The sequence below is a fragment of the Homo sapiens genome, chromosome 4, assembly GCF_000001405.40.
Source record: "Homo sapiens chromosome 4, GRCh38.p14 Primary Assembly".
In the NCBI taxonomy this organism is placed as follows: domain Eukaryota; kingdom Metazoa; phylum Chordata; class Mammalia; order Primates; family Hominidae; genus Homo; species Homo sapiens.
The window spans coordinates 23042527-23059466 of record NC_000004.12 but is presented as its reverse complement, the minus strand read 5'-3'; the positions used below and the strand labels follow the sequence as shown (position 1 = coordinate 23059466).

General features: G+C 37.2%; 1 long non-coding RNA gene across 7 annotated transcripts in view; it reads right to left on the bottom strand.

The window, feature by feature from the left end:
• LOC105374524 (uncharacterized) overlaps positions 1–16940 on the bottom strand; it is a 507306-nt gene that overhangs the window by 445371 nt on the left and 44995 nt on the right. For 2 of the 7 annotated variants that reach the window (XR_925471.3, XR_007058437.1), the window contains exons 4-5: positions 3552–3628; positions 1169–1291 (exon numbers count right to left, since the gene is read on the bottom strand). The exons of the other annotated variants lie outside the window; for them this stretch is intronic. This is a non-coding gene — a long non-coding RNA (uncharacterized LOC105374524). The remainder of the gene's footprint in view (positions 1–1168; positions 1292–3551; positions 3629–16940) is intronic. 7 annotated transcript variants of the gene reach the window in all.

Below are 16940 nucleotides of genomic sequence, written 5' to 3'. Positions count from 1 at the left end.
CAATCCCAACAGCAGTGGGGCAGGATGTACACTTTCCCACAGAAACAGCAATGCTGAGGATGTATAATCACTTTGCAGGGAGGGGAGAAGCACATCACTGGGAGCAATAATACAATCTGTTGCAGTCTACTGACACAGTCACAAATACCTACATCCTTAATGAAAGCAAAATTCACTCAACCTCCATCCATGGAATACACTCTAAAAGTAACCAATTGGCATTGGGATGAATTCTTGGATCTCTTGATTTATAACATGAATAGCTGTGGCTCCATGATATTGTTTGCTGTGTCCCCACCCAAATCTTATCTTGAATTGTAGTTCCCATAATCCCCATGTGTCGTGAGAGGGACACAGTGGGAGGTAACTGAATCATGGGGGAGGTTACCCACCCCCCCACCCCCATGCTGTTTTCATGATGGTGAGTTCTCACGAGATCTGATGGTTTTATAAGGGGCTTTTCCTTCTTTGCTCTGCACTTCTCTCTCCTGCCGTCTTGTAAAAAAGGACGTTTGCTTCCCCTTCCCCCATGATTGTAAGTTTCCTGAGTCCTCCCCAGCCATGCAGGACTGTGAGTCAATTAAACCTCTTTTCTTTATAAATTACTGTCTGGGGTATTTCTTCATAGCAGTGTGAGAACAAACTAATACAGTCCACTTAATTGAACTAAAAACAAAAAACAGATTGTTCACCATACACCTGATGCATATTTGCCAAAAAGACCATAAACAAATTTACTCCCTTTTGGAAGGGGGAAAAAGAGCCACACATTACACTGGTCCAAAGCAATTCTGAAGTCTGGGAGGTCCTTCTTGTTGCATTATCCTCCCTGGGCATAGCTGAATAAGAATCCACCCTCAACCCTCACTCCACCCTGTAGAGAAGCATGCACTGAAAGGTCATTTTACATTTTGAACAGCAACAATCTGTTCAAAGACTGCATTCAAGCTGCCAGTGCTTTTGACAGTGCAACTCTCTGAAAAGCTTTGCTCCTGTTGGTTTTGTTTCTTTGTTTGACTCCAGCCATCTTCATATGTCAATAACCATACTTCTAATTCTATTCCAGGCCTTCCTCTCTCTAGAGAGCTAATCAAGTCTCCATGGGATGATGCCCTTAGTTTCTTTCTTCCTGAGTCATTTTGTGCCTTGAAAGGGCTTACTCACTTACCTCTTAACTGATTCAGAGGTTTTAACAGAAGCATAACAGCCATACTCTTGATTCAATCTTTGCTCCAGGGAGGGCTTTTAATTTGCCTTTGTTGTTCAAATCATTTTTCAACTTTACCTTTTACTGGTTGAAAGTGAGAGACAGGTGCATCCTTTAGTTCCTAAAATCCACTTTTTCCTTTCACTGCTGTTACAAACAGACAATCATTTTCTGAACTCATCTCTTTCTGGTAATATCTTGTCAAATCCAGTTAATTACAACCAAAGGAAACTTGTGTATTGTATCTTTAAGCATATTTTCTAAAAGTCACAGAGTCATTGGGCAGACGACTTGCCTACCAAGTTATAACAAATGACAGTTATACTAAATGTTTTGCCTCTTCACAGTACAAGCTACCATTTTTTTCTAGCCTCCAATAACAATCTCCTGGCCTTCTGCTGCTCAACCCTAAAGTCAGTGTCATATAATTTAAGTTGTTACTGTTGATGTTGACATAGCAGCACTTTACTACCAGTACTAATTTATTCATCAGCTTTGGTGCAGTAAGAAAGAGCTCCAAAGTTGTCATGGCTTAATACAATGACAACTGAGCACCATAGCACAGCCAAGTTGACACAAAAAATTAAGCACCACATACCATATGGTATGTATATAAGTTTGTGTTTGTGTGTGTGTGTGTGTGTGGGTGTGTGTGTGTGTGTATGTTATGATGGAAATTTACATCATAATCATAGTAGGTAGTGATATATACCATAAAAGAAAATGACAGGGTAAGAGGCAGTGATGGTGGGCTAAGTATATTATTTTTTAGGTTGGGTTATTGGAGAGAGTAACATTTGAGCAAATATAGGAATGAAGTGAGGGAAACATTTTACTCTTTTTCCCTTTTGTCATCATCATAAATACATAATACACAAGTGATGTAATTTGTCTGTTCTTTGGTATGAAATATGACATCTATCTAGGAAGCTAAGGCAAGCTAAGAGGGACAGAAATCCAATATCTGAAATAAAGTCTGCTGTAAAGTTTAGTATGTAACAAATTATACCAAAACTTAGGGTCTTTAAAAGAAAAATATTTACTATTTCTCATAATTCTATGGGTTGGTTGGATGGATCTCCTGGTCTGGCACAGCTGGGCTGGACCTGGCTGATCTAGGATGGCCTCTCTCACGGGTCTGGTGCTCTTGGTATATAAATACAATATATAAATATAATAATAATATAAAATGTTGAGAAACTCAGTCAAATTGAACAGGCAGATAATGTCATACGATACCCAGCAACATGAGACAGGAAGCTCTCTCATTATTATAAACACAGTGGCTGAGGCCAATGAACTTTTTGAAAGTCCAAGAAAATATCTGAGTTGTGATTTTAAAAAAATCTAATTGCTGCTGTAAAATATTTAATCAAAACTCCTAAGTCAAAATTTACAAAGGTTCAATCAGATGTCTATAAGTATGCTATGTCAATTTCATTCACTGTCAAATTTAACACTCAAAAACTGACACATTATATACACTAAAACATACTTTTTTTATATTTATAAGTTAAATATAAATTTTGCATCATTTGTTTATTGTCTGCATTTCCCACATGATTAGAAGTTCACTGACGGCAGGCTCTATGTCCTATACTTTATAAAATGATAAGCAACTAGTAGGTATTCAATAATAATTTTTAAATGAATGAATATGTTCATATAAAGTACATATCAGGGCTGGACGCAGTGGCTCACGCCTGTAATCCTAGCACTTTGGGAGGCCAAGGTGGGTGGATCACCTGAGGTCAGGTATTCAAGACCAGCCTGGCCAACATAGTGAAACCCTTTCTCTTCTAAAAATACAAAAATTAGCTAGGCGTGGTGGTGGATGCTGTAATCCCAGCTACTTGGAAGGCTGAGGGAGGAGAATTGCTTGAACCCGGGAGGTAGAGGTTGCGGTGAGCCAAAATCATGCCACTGAACTCCAGCCTGGGCGACAGAGTGAGACTCTGCCTCAAAAAATAAATAAATAAATAAATAATTTAAAAAGTACATATCAGTACAATTCTATAACGTACATGTCCTCAATTCCTTTTATACTCATGCAGATTTATCATCATGGCAATAAGCATGAAGCTGATTTATTGCTATTCACCACGAGAAACAAAGGGGAAGTAGAAAGACATCTCTGAAACTAGAGAGAGTTGCTAAGAAAATAGAATTTATAAGGAAACATAACTTACAAACAGCATAGGTAAAGTATCTTTTTCTTAAAATGGGACGCATTTACGTGCAAATGTTTATTATTAAGAAACACATTATTGTTTTACTGAATGTTAAAGCCAAGTCTCTTTGCTTTATCTTATTTGTATGTATCATTTTAAAGCAAGCCTAGCACATTGTCCTGGCACACAGGAGTTGTCCAATTTGGATATCAACTGGAGCTTGGTGAAATACAGCAGCACTTAGAAGTTTCTGCAAAAAAAATAGGTGGGGAAATACATATATCTCCATCCCTTTTATAAACACACACACACACACACACCATCACATTCTAAGTATATGTAAGTCACGTAGTTAGAAACATATCACATACTTAGAATGTGATATGCTTATAGAGACACATAAAGCTTTATATGTCTCTCCACAGCATATAAAGCATATATTCTAAGCATTTGATATGCTTCAATCTGTAAGGGAAAAACAGTTCTGGGAGTTTTTAAAAACGGTGTTTATAAAATTGCATGAGTAGTATAGTTCACTAATTTTCCAAAAAGCAGAAGCCCTGGAGCCTGGGTGGTTTTCCTAATAAATTACCGGTCCATCACTTGCATAAGAATATATTTGTTTATTCAGAAGCGTGTTTTGCAAATTATCTCTCTAGACAGGAATACATAAATTGAGAGCTTCCTCTATTCTGAAGGATGAAAAAATTTAAGTAAGATTTGGAAAAATAGAAGAAGTCAAGGAACTCGAGGCAACAGACACCTAGAGAGTTTTCATGGGTTAATATTAGTATTAGGAAATGATCCAAGTACAAATCTACAGAACTTTTCATATGACTGTCACATGGCGAAGACTCCCTGAATCCTATTTGAGGACATCCTCTAGGATACCATGAGCCCCAGGTTAAGAGTCATTGAATTGGGGTCCCTAAGTTCCATCCATTCCATGAAGGCATAAACATTTTTGGCAATTGTTTTTTTTTAACCAGTTTCCTGTTTCTCTGTTAACCTGAGTTATGTCAGTACACAATTCTGTGATTCCTTATCTTTTTACGCCACAGTCTTTCCCTAAGGAATTATACCAATCGCATGTTTCCAATGTTGGCTTTTCCCAAATTTTTATCTCCAATCTAGACTTTTTTCTAACCTCCATTTCCTGCATGATGTATACACTTGAGAAAAAAAAAATCTCACAATAATCTCAAACTTTAGATGTCTCCTCAAGATATATTCCTCTTACCTCTTATTAAATAAAACATTTATTTTCACTCAGATGTTCATATAAATCCAGCAGTTGTCCTTGATACCTTCCTCTCCTCCAATATTTCTCTACCAATAACAGAAAGTTGTATTGGTTCTATCTTCAAATTGTGACTCAAGTCTGCCAACTTCTCTCTACCTCTAAGATCACTCTCTTGGTCCAAGCCACCATCATCTCTTTCCTAGAGTACTGTGATTGCTTCCTCAATGATATCTTATTTCCTCTCTAGTCTCCCTCCACTCCATCTTCACAAAGCTGCTACAAGGCTCCCTATTAAATCCAAAATAGGTGACATAACTCCTACGTATGTGCATAAATTCATTCAATATTTACTCATAAATCTTAGAATCCAATCCCAAAGCTTTAGCATGACACTCAAATTCCAAGCATTTTCCCTCCCCTCCCTCTTCAATTCATGCCACCCTCCCCATCTCTGGTCTACACAGAATACGTTGCCTTCCTTCAATTCCTTGAAGATGCCATGTTCTTTCCAGCCACAGAACATTTACACATGCTTTTCCCTATGTTGGGAATGTTCTTATCTCTACCATTCAATGAGTGAATTCCTAGTTGTCAAAGGACAATTGAGCTTAAATGACACCTTCTCAGGGACCTCTTTTTTGATTCCTCAATAAAAATAAAAACCCCTTGGAATGATCTCTCAAGGTTTTGATGTATTTCCTGCAGCACACTGCTCATAATTTGTAATTACCTAACGTGTGATTATTTGTTTAATTTTTGACTACTTATCTCACTAGATTGTAAACCAGAGAAGGGCAAAAATAATTATTCTCTGAATAAGGTATGCCACTGCATTTCCCACATCTAATGCTTAATGCTGTACATTTCATGCCCAAATATATGTTTTAGTAGTTAAGTTGTGGCTAAGAATATGTTTATAGACTTATTTACAAATCCACCAATACTTATTGAGTGTCTACTGTGTACTAGGTGCTGGGGATACAGTGGTGCCTAAGTCAGACCCATCTCCTGTGCTCATAGATCTTGAGGGGTCTACACATGTATAGTCAAATGTCTATAGGAAATTGTCCAAAGCCTCGACTCTCAAATATTTTTAATACAGAAGGATGGAATTTACACATCTAATTTCCACCTTGAAAAGAACAATAATGCATAGCAGAAATACCAAGTGAAAGTAGAAATTCTACCTTAATTCTAGCTACCTTCTCATTCATTCACTTTCTGCCTATGCTAGCAAAGAGAAAAAAAAAAAAAAAAAAGACAGAGAGAGGGAGAGAAGCCACTGGCTTGCATCTCAAATTTCTTTTGTTGATTTGTGTCATAATCTTAATGTTATTTAACCTTTGCTTTTTACACTTAATAGATATGAGTGTTCTGATAAATGTAATAAAAACAGTCAGTAACATGCCAAAGCCTGTCCATAATGGACTAACTTGAGGTGCTGGAAAATAAGGGACCCTGCTTGCTAACTCTTAAGTAATATACTCTAGGCAAGTCTGAACATCATATTAGTACTGATTATAAATATTTAGATGTTCAATTCTCAATATTATTAGCAGAAGTTATCATACAACTGCCCACAACCTATTCTATATACCAAGATGAATTCTCTACTCCCCTCAAATTCTCACCTGATCCTTTCAGAGGGTTAGTATACAACCTCAGAAATATTTTTAGCATGGTTCAATTGAAATGAATTTAAGTTTGCAAAGCCCACTGCATGTTAGTAGACAAATATATATAAGTGAACCACATAAAAACTGTAAACATTATACTTAAATCATAGAGAAAAAAGTAGTACCTCAATTAGTATCTATCCAAACAACCTGCAATTACTTTTCATTGCCAAAAATTATGTCAAAGTATGAGCTCTGTCATTAAGATTTCATTAATAGCAGGGAATATTTGACAAATTTTTATATAACTCCATATAAAGTAGCCACCTAATGGTAAAATCTAATGGTTAGTAAACTAACCACTTAATGGTAAAAGCTTTGATACTTCACTAGTTGCTGAAAGGCTTACACTGTGGTGACACAGAATCGCTTTGCAATAAGGCAAATAAATTTGATAATGCTTATGTCATGTGTCAGTTTCACATGGTACCTAGAAAAGTATTTCTTGGAAATGTTTTCAAAGTATGAAGACGATAAGATGGAAAGAATATATCATTCGCCAAGCATAACACACCAATGTATGCCTTCTCGTAAAATCTTTGAGTGAATAATATGTGAAAAGACAATTCATTCCAATCCATAGAATTCACTGCCTGATACAAAGTGCCAAATCACTGATCAAAAAAAGTTTTAATTGACATTGTGCAAATTATCTATACAGCACAAGCAGCAAATGAAGACTTCTTGCATAAATGAAAAATGAACATTTTAGGCTCTAGATCTGGAACTCACAATCGGGAACTTCTGAGTTCCAGTAGACACAAATAGACTAAACAGCCTAGCTTCAGTGAATTTTTTTCAAACAAGATATATATGTCTCTGTCTATATCTATGTCTATATGTCTATATCCATGTCTAAGGCATCTATATTCATTTACATATATATGTAGATATATACAACCACTTCTATGTGTCAGGTAATGGTACTGGGTAAGATGTTGAGAAACTCAATCTAGTTGAACAGGCAGATAATGTTATACAATACCTAGCAATATGGGAGACAGGAAGCTCTCTCATTATTACAAACACAGTGGCTGAGGCCAACGAACCTTTTGAAAGCCCAAGAAAATACCTGAGTCATGACAAAAAGAAATCTAATTGCTGCTGTAAAATATTAAATTAAAACTGCTAAGTCAAAATTTACAAAGGTTCAATTAGATGTCTATAAACATATTATGTCAATTTCATTCACTGTCAAATTCAACACTCATAAACATTTCATTACACTTGAAAACAATTTGAAGGATAGATTCTCTTAGTTTACAAAAATTATTGAATATGCACAATGACTGCTGAGAAATCATAACAACTTTAAGTTATATGCAGCCAAAGAATTTCAAAGTCCATTACAAAAATTTCCACAAAAATCTCAACAGGAAAATACATTTATTGGGGGATTTAGATGCATTTTTATATGTTTGATATAATATGAGGTGGGGTCTCCAAAAGAAAGAGGTGTCAAGAGTTTATATTAGTCTTAAATCACCTGGGTGTACCAAGGGGGAAATGTTACCATATATAGAAGTGGCTTCTTTGGAGACGTAAAGTTTGAAATATGCTTAAGAGTTTAGGAGTCAATGGGACAGAAAATACACACATGTGCAAAGACACAGTCATAGTGGAACACAACATTTTGGGGCACTGGTGAAGCCTTCATCAGGGCTGGAGGGTCAGGTGCGCATCCTGGAAGGTAGGAAGAGTGTTTGGAAAAATATTAAGGTCAAATAAGGAGCAACTCAGAAGAAAAGAAACCAGTGATGGTTTCTAAACAGGAAAATGACATTATCAAGTACACGTTTTAGGAAGATACTTTGGTGACCACATGGATAATAGGTGGGAGTGAGCCGTCATAGCAGGGATACCCATTTAGTGGTCATTGAAATACAAGACAGGTAACAGACGATGAGAATCAAAGCTTTGGCTGGAAATGTTCAATTCAAGAGACATTTCAGTTTGTGAAAGTGATTCTTGGAGATAAAAAGAGTTTCCTGTCTGCGTTACACCTTTGAGAGCAATTCAGAGAAGGAAGTGTTGAGTAGGATTAGTTTCTCTGAGGTGCAAGTTATTTTATTAAGAAGGAAACTACAGTGGATAAGTCCAAGTTAAAGCAAATACTAATAGATTCTTGTCTTTTAAAAATGCAACGTGGGCTGGGTGCGGCGGTTCACACCTGTAATCCCAGCACTTTGGGAGGCTGAGGTGGGCGGATCGCCTGAGGTCAGGAGTTCAAGACCAGCGTGGGCAACATGGTGAAATCGCATCTCTACTAAAAATACAAAAATTAGCTGGGTGTGGTGGCACACGCCTGTAGTCCCAGCTACTCGGAAGGCTGAGCCAGGAGAATCGCTTGAACCCACAAGACGGAGGTTGCAGTGAGACAAAATCATACCACTGCATTCCAGCCTGGGTGACCAAGCAAGACTCCGTCTCAAAAAAACAAAGTGCAATGTGATTCTTTTTTATTGAATCCAGTACAAACTTAAGTGTCCACTGTGTCAACAACATTATTACCTTGCTATGGTTTTGGAGGGGATAAGCAGGTGGCTACCATCTGGGTTTGGAACATGACTCTGGGTTCTGGACTACACCTTTACCTGTTCATTGTAATTGGATTGACTCTTTTTTTATTCAGCCAGTCTACCTGCCATTCCGAAACAATGCTCTCATTGTGAACCTAGATTGGTACCCTCTCTACTCCAACCCCACTCTCATTTTATCCCTTCCTTTCAAGGGATCCAATCTGTATCAGGTCCGCTTACCTACTCTACAACACATCAATATCCTCTACCTGTTCCTAGTCTTTGATCTTGCTTTTCCTTCTAACCTTCTGCTGACTACTTTCTTTGCTCAATTTGCACCTCTATGTCTTTTTTTATTATTCTTAAAGTATAATCTTTCAAAGCCATATTATAAATTGTCCCAATTCTATTGCTTATAACCTAATAATATCTTAATATATTTAATAAGATCATGACCACCCCTGCAATTCATCACTTTCTATTCCTAGAGATGATGATAATACAAAAAGGGAAATGTGACTTACGTATCATCAAGTATCCAAGAACCTGCTTATCCTAAGAGAGGTGGTAAAGAAAGATTTTATTATTGCCTTCTGAAAAACACAGTGACTGAGCCAGAGAAAGGTCAACTGGACACAGTTACCCACTATTCACTTTCCATACCAAAATTAACTTTATGCTTCAAATACATTTCCATACTCTCCCCATAATCTTTTTTTTTTTTCAATAGTCCTTACCTCAAAAAAAAAAACCTTGCATGATTCTCATAAAGGTGTTTGTCTTATAAACTGATGTTTGGCTCTACCCTTTAGATAGTTATTTCTGTTTAAGCTGTATCCCCTGAAGATCACTGTTCTAACAGTCTCCATCATGCTAGAGGGGAAAGAAAAGGAGAAAGAAAATAACTGGCTTTCTTCTCTTCTCCTTACTATTCCTGCTACTGTCACTACTTTTTCAATTATGGGTTTTCTAATTGTTAACTGTGCTAATACAGCACAAAATGGAGAGAAATGTAGAAAAGCAGAGTGTGGACCTGTAGGAAGCTTTCTCATTAGCCAATGAGTCAAAATTTCCTTATTGTTGTTGTTCTCAGGTTAGCTAAGGATCAAAAATAATAATGGCCATGTGCAGTGGCTCATGCCTGTACTCTCAGCACTTTGGGAGACCAACGCGGGCGGATGACCTGAGGTCAGGAGTTTGAGACCATCCTGGCCAACGTGGCAAAATCCCGTCTCTACTAAAAATACAAAAATTAGCCAGGCATGGCACTGCACGCCTGTAGTCCCAGCTACCCAGGAGGCTGAGGCAGGAGAATCGCTTGAACCCAGAGGCGGAGGTTGCAGTGAGCCAAGATGGTGCCACTGTACTCCAGCCTGGCGACAGAGCAAGACTCCATCTCAAAAACCAACCAACCAAACAAACAAAAATAATAACATATCTCAATACATTAATAGCATAGTAGGTGCTCAGTTAATTTTAAGGTCCCCCCACCCTGACTTTGGTACAATCCCATAAAAGATTGAATTCAATTATTTTTCTATAATCCCAAATTGTGTGATGTTGCAATTGTGTGTCAACCACTCAGAAACAATGTTTTTTTAAAATTTTTCATTATGTATATCAGCCCTCTATTAATTATATTCATTGGAATGATCTTTATTTGAACATCTTTTCATCACAGCCTTCAGCTTGCTGAATATTTCTGCATAACCAGGATCTATAGGCTTCATTTGACTTTCTTTGTTGAATTACCAGCCAAACTACAGAACTGCTTTTGTGCAGTTTATTTGAGTTTTGAAGGCAGGTAATTTACTAATCCTCCTTTCAGATGCTGCCTTTGTTCTTCCCTGAGATGTGTATTGACTGAATGTTTCAAGGGCTTCATTGTTTAAAGTCAATGAGGAAATGAAATTCCCTTTGATAAACTAAACTTGTTGACCTAGTCCTTTACAGAAATTTTTTAAAAATCAATGTATAAATATATGTTGTTGGAGGTGATTATACCTCTTGGTGAAACAAGTAGCTGTGTGTCTTTATAAGGTCTAATATCTTAATATGAGAGCATAATTTTCTCTCTGATGAAACTTTAACCATCCAAAGATGCTAGCAATGATGCAAGGAGTAGCAAGTTGAATAAAAACATTAATAATACATCTCTACAAATCTTCATTCTCACAGACTCTCCCTATGCTGAATCTACACTTAAGTGAACAATTCATTTCCTTGGTATTATTTCTAAACCTTTTGCAATGCATCCTCTCCCCCAGTGACCTATATCTGAGAACCACATGCATGCCCAGCTGCTCCCCTACTGTCTTATTCCCCACTTTTCAAAAATTTTCACTAAAGCATACACTTCCTAGAGAAATGAGGAAGAACACTGTCCAAGAAGTAGAAGAGAGTGGATTCTGTGACTACATGTCACCATTTCTCCTCACTTTTAGCAAATCACTGAAACTCTCTGGACATCATGTAAAGCATCTGTAAAGCAGAAATTGTAATATCTTATCTTTCTAATATTAAATGGTCCCTGAGTTCTCTTTCAACTTTAAGACTCATACACGCACACACACACACACACACACAGAATAGAATTTAAGCCTTATCTAATATAAACTTCATGTTTCAAACATGGGACTACATGCTTCAACTATGTTATTTAGTTAACAAGTTTAATGTATCTGGTCCTCTCCTATCTGACAGGTCTATTATGAGAAAAATATCAAAAAAAAGTCAAAGTACTTTAAAGATCTATAAAATATCATCTATAGGAGAAAACAGTTATTATGGAAACCAAAACAAAAAGCATAATGGCACATAAATGTCTGTTAGGTAGAAGCAAAGACATATGTGGTCAGAAAAACATACCCTGAGAGGCTGCCTGTTGGAGGAGGGTGAGGCAGGCATATGTTTGGAGAAACCAAGACAACAAAAAAAGGTCGTTAGAATTTTGTTAGCTAAGTCAGACTTGAACAAAAAATGTCACCTATGGGGAGGGTCAAGCAGAGGAGGGGAGAAAAATAATGAAAGAAGTATGGCCAAACAGCATGATGAACATCAGAAGCCTCAACTAAATTTGTACTTCTCACTTTGACTTGAATACAAGTCCTTCACACCTGTATGTTAGAAAGCCTGCTTCACATATGGAATCCTGATGTGAGCAGGTTTTCACAGCAGAAATTGTGGAAAATGGCTGAATTCTGTGTTTCGGTCCATGCATTATAGCCAAAAGATAATGAAGTCCAGAAACAAGATACTCTCTAAACTGAAATAATTCAGAGAAAGTAGGACCTCAAAACTACAGGAGAACGTGAAATGACTTAGAGCATGAAAATCTTAGGATAGGTGTTAAATTTACTTTGGATTCAGGTCTGAACCTAATCATCTGAGATAACATGGGCAAGGTTACCAACCCCACCTGACATTTGAATGAGGACAAGGATGATGATCATGATTATGATCACAGTTATAGTGGTCGTGAGTGGCATTGGTATCAAGATAGTTTGTACTTCCATAGAAATGTGTCACTAAGGAAAGAGAAGGATCAGTAAGCCCTCAGTGATAGAAAGGGAATATTAATGAAAAAGAAGAGCCTTTCAACCAATGTAGTTAGTAAAAACTTTGAACCAAAAAATTACAGATCATTTATAATAGAAAACATAATTTGGGATAGAAGAGTGGGGAACATTCCAGAAAAGAAATGTGAGACCTTGAAGAAGATGCTATGAGATTAGACTACATTTTAACATGCACAACAAGATCTCATGAAATTAGCATTCCTTTTTGAATCATAATTATTGTAACATTAAAGGAAATAATTGAAATGAAATAGTAGTCTTCTTCAATAAATGTCTCCACTACTATTTCAACTAATAGAGCCGATGCATTTCCAGAACTCATTTATAATAGTAAGACGAAAAGCCACATAAAATGAATGTGACTAATGTGATAGAGAGAAAATAAAAAACTGGACTTAAAGTTTCAGGATTTAAATTCAAACCCTTACTTAGTTATTGAAAGTTATTTATTGAATGTCTATATGCCTGACTTTGGGTTATATGCAAGAGTATAAACACAACTAACATGGTCACTGCCCTGCAGAAACTCACGGTCTACCGGGGTAAACAAGAAAACAGACGACTTTATTACAGCTTATAAATGCCACCTTAAAAATGTGAGCTGTAAATACAGTGAAGTATGGCAATAAAGAGCACTGACTCAGAAGCTAGACCACCTGAGTTCAAATTCTGGCTTCAGTAATAAATAACTGTTTGATATTGAGTGAATTACCTAACATTTCAGTGCTTGTCTGCTGTGTTATAAAATGGAAATGCTAGAATTGCCTTCGGGGGTTATTACAAGGATTACATAAATTGAAATTCAAACTACTTAAGACAATTCCTGGTGCATAAAGAGGACTGTGTTACCACCATCCTCTTCACTAACCTCCTCCTGTGCTGCTTCATCATCATTGCTATGGAAACACTGAAATTGGAGGAACTAATCTTGTCCAGGAAAAATAGAAAAAGCTTCACAAAGTAAATGGCATAGAAAGTGAGTCTCAAAGTATCAGCTTTGCAGGTGGAGAAACTGAAAAGTATGTGCCAAGTAGAGTGGACCACACACATCCAAAAGTAAAGAATCAGGACAAGCCCTGCTGAATTGTGAGGTACATGCATGGTGAGACTGAAGAGGTAAGATAGAACAAAATAGTAAGAAACCACACGGATGTGGTGTCTTTTATGTAGGTGAATAACAGAATTTATTTTTTAGGATGATGACCCTGGTGGCTCTGTAGAAGACCCTAATAAAATCTCAGTGGCTTTCAACAAAGAAATATTTCTCCCTGCATTACATGTTAGCTGTAAGTCTGCTGCACCTCCATTCCTTGCCTTCCACATTCTAGTAGCCAGGCCAAATGAATATCCCTCATTTGGGGCATTCTTATTCCCTCAGTAGAGGGCAAAGGTAGGGGACAGAACAACATGATGGCTCCTAAAACTTCTGTGCCATGGTGGCATTTCATTTCTGCTCACATTTTATTGGCCAAAATGAATCATATGGTCAAGTCTGATGTCAATGAGATAAGGAAGTATAATCCCCCCAAAGGGAAGAATGCCAGAAATCAAGTGGTGGCAAAATCGGACTTCAGGAGAGTAGGGAGCTATAAATCTCTTATGGGGAAGGGCAAACATTATTTTGAAAAATCCATTATCTTGGTTATCTATTATATACATATTCCCTGAAACAGCGGCTTAAAAATTTCTTATGCTCATGATTCTCAGGTGTTCACACAGGGCTAGTTTGGAGTAAATGAGTGGCTTCATTCACTTGATAGATTTCTTAGCAGAAATGGCCTAAAGGTTAGATTCAGCTGAGCTTCTCTCCCTCTCCCTATAGTCTCAGAGTCTCTCCATGTGGTTCCTCCAGCAGGGTGAGTAGTGGTCAGACTTATTGATGCTCGGGGCTTCAAGAGATCAAGGTAGAAATCATCAGTCCTCTGAAGGTAATAGTGTCCATTATATTCTGTTGGTGAAAAATGGGGTCACAAGCCAACCTAAATGCAAAGGGAGAAGAAATTAACCCAAACTCTTGATGAGGAAGGGTCAAAGAATCTGCAGCTATTCTCCATAGATGTAAAGGGCAGGTGGGGACAGACTAGGGAGCTGTTTCTGAGATGGAATAAGAAGTATATGTTGACCATCTAAATGTGGAATGGGTAAGAACAAATAGAATTGCAAAGAAACACTACCGAAGATAAGAAGGTCATTTCTCCAATATTCAGATGGAAGGGCTGAAAGAACTCATATCACAAAAATAAAAAATTATTTTACATATCCTGAATTATCCAATAAATTAAAAGGAAAAATTTTCTATCAAGATGGGGATCACATCCAAGAGATTTATTTCAAGATGTTATTTATGTATGGTGCTTGTAAAAGTGCTAGAAAAACATACAAAAAAAAGCATATGTTAAATCAAAATAAACTTTATTTTAGAAAGTCACTTTAAGTATGTGGTGATATCATTAAGCCTTATTAATATGCTGTTTATTTAACAGATTAAAATGCATAAGAACCATGTCCCATTCATCTTAATTAGAAAATACACTTGTCACAATTATTTGCTTTATATTTTAATTTTTATGAATATTTTGAAGCTATCCATTGATGCTATTAGGATCAACCTTCCCCTTGGTTTGTAGTTCTGTGATCCCAACGCCACAGCTCTCTTGAGGCACTACGCGGCATTTCTCACCTCTCTGCCAACGCCTGGCTCTTAGATCTGTTTTGGAGCTGAGAATAGCTACAAGAAAATAACTGTAAAGATTTTAGTGCTCTCAACAAGGACGTCTTTCTCTCTGATCTTCAGATTTCAAAATATTTTCTATCCCAAATATTGTACACAGCCACAGGTGTGAGATAATAGATGCTGGTTGACATAGAATATCAAATTCTAGAGATCCAAGAGATTTTTGAGATTACTCTCTCCAGTTGTTTGTTTGTTTGTTTGTTTGTTTGAGACAGGGTCTTACTCTGTCACTCATGCTGGAGTGCAGTGGCACAATCACAGCTCACTGCAGCCTTGACCTCCTGGGCTCAAGTGGTCCTTCCACCTCAGCCTCCTGAGTAGCTGGGACCACAGGCACAAGCCACCACCCCATGCTAATTTTTAAATTTTTTGTAGAAACAGGAGTGTCCTCGTGTTGCCAATGCTGAACTTGAACTCCTGGGTCCAAGTGATTCTCTAGCCTCAGCCACCCAAAATGCTGGGATTATAGGTGTGAGCCACTGTGCCTGACTCTCCAATGTTTTCCAAACTCAATCATTCACTCGCCACTTTCTGTATGTTGCACCAACCACTAATACCTTTTTCCTATAAACTGACTTACAGTTTTTACTTAATATATTTTAAGGGAAAAAGTATGTATTGCTATTGTAGTGGAAAATTAGTTGAATTTGCCATAAATTGTTGGTGATAATACAAATGAATACATTGAAACAAAACAATATTACTAATGAAACAAAATGATATTGCTAAATTCTAGCTCGATATTTTTGCTTGCCAGAGGCATGGAGCCTGAGGTTTCTTCACACTGTTAGAAATGGGATTCTGAAGCTTGAGATTACCAGGATCAAACTGAAGTTTTCTCCTTGAACCAGAAGAATTAGAAGAAAGTTGTAAAGACATAAACACCTTTTACATGTTATCCAAATGGACAGTGCCTGTGATGCACCCCAAGTCATTTTGTTATTTTTATTAGCAACAGGTCCTTGTTTGGGAAACATTTCCTCTTCCTTTCCCCTCATTAAAGACAAACTTATTGAGTGTATCTTGTATCCAGATCTTTATTTCTAATTCTATTCTCCAATAAAAGGAACCAACGTTCCTTGAAGAAATGGCTGATTCCAAGGCTAGGATGGGAGATGTACCACGTGACTCTGGAGCATCTTGTAGTGGAAGAAAAGTAAAGAAGTTCTTTACAAAACACAAACACACACACACACACACACAGAGCAAACGAAAACACAATGATGGGGTATATTAACGTGACAGAAGAGCCAACTGAAAGAGCTTCCAATGGTCAAACCTGGAACAATTTGAACAACAAAATAAAGTAGTATGGGATTATACCCCATAGAATGAAATAAATATCTATGAGTCCATACTGGTTAAAATAAATGATCAAGTAAATGGGTTAAAAGAGATAGACCTCCCATGCAGGAGAATTCCAAATAATTGATGTAAATACTTCACCCTCAGGAAGGTGAGGCATAACTCACCACTCCTTAAGTGTCGGCTAAACATAGTGACCTTATTCCACAGTATGAAAAGTGGGAAAACTGTACAGTGGAGGAATCTAACAAGCATTACCTCAGCAACAGAGAGACAACAGCATTAAGTTAGGAGGATAGTATATACCCCTGATAGAATGTGATGAGAATGAACTGTTATAAATAAAGTTTTGGTGCCACAAAAGAAATAGCACTTGAATATAAAATTTTCTTTTTAATCCTCAGCAAGACAATTTACTTCTATAGAAGGGTGCGCCCTCACAGATGAAGCAATGGTGAGCGCACACTTGGACAAGGGAGGAGAAGGGGTTCTTATCCCTGATGCAGG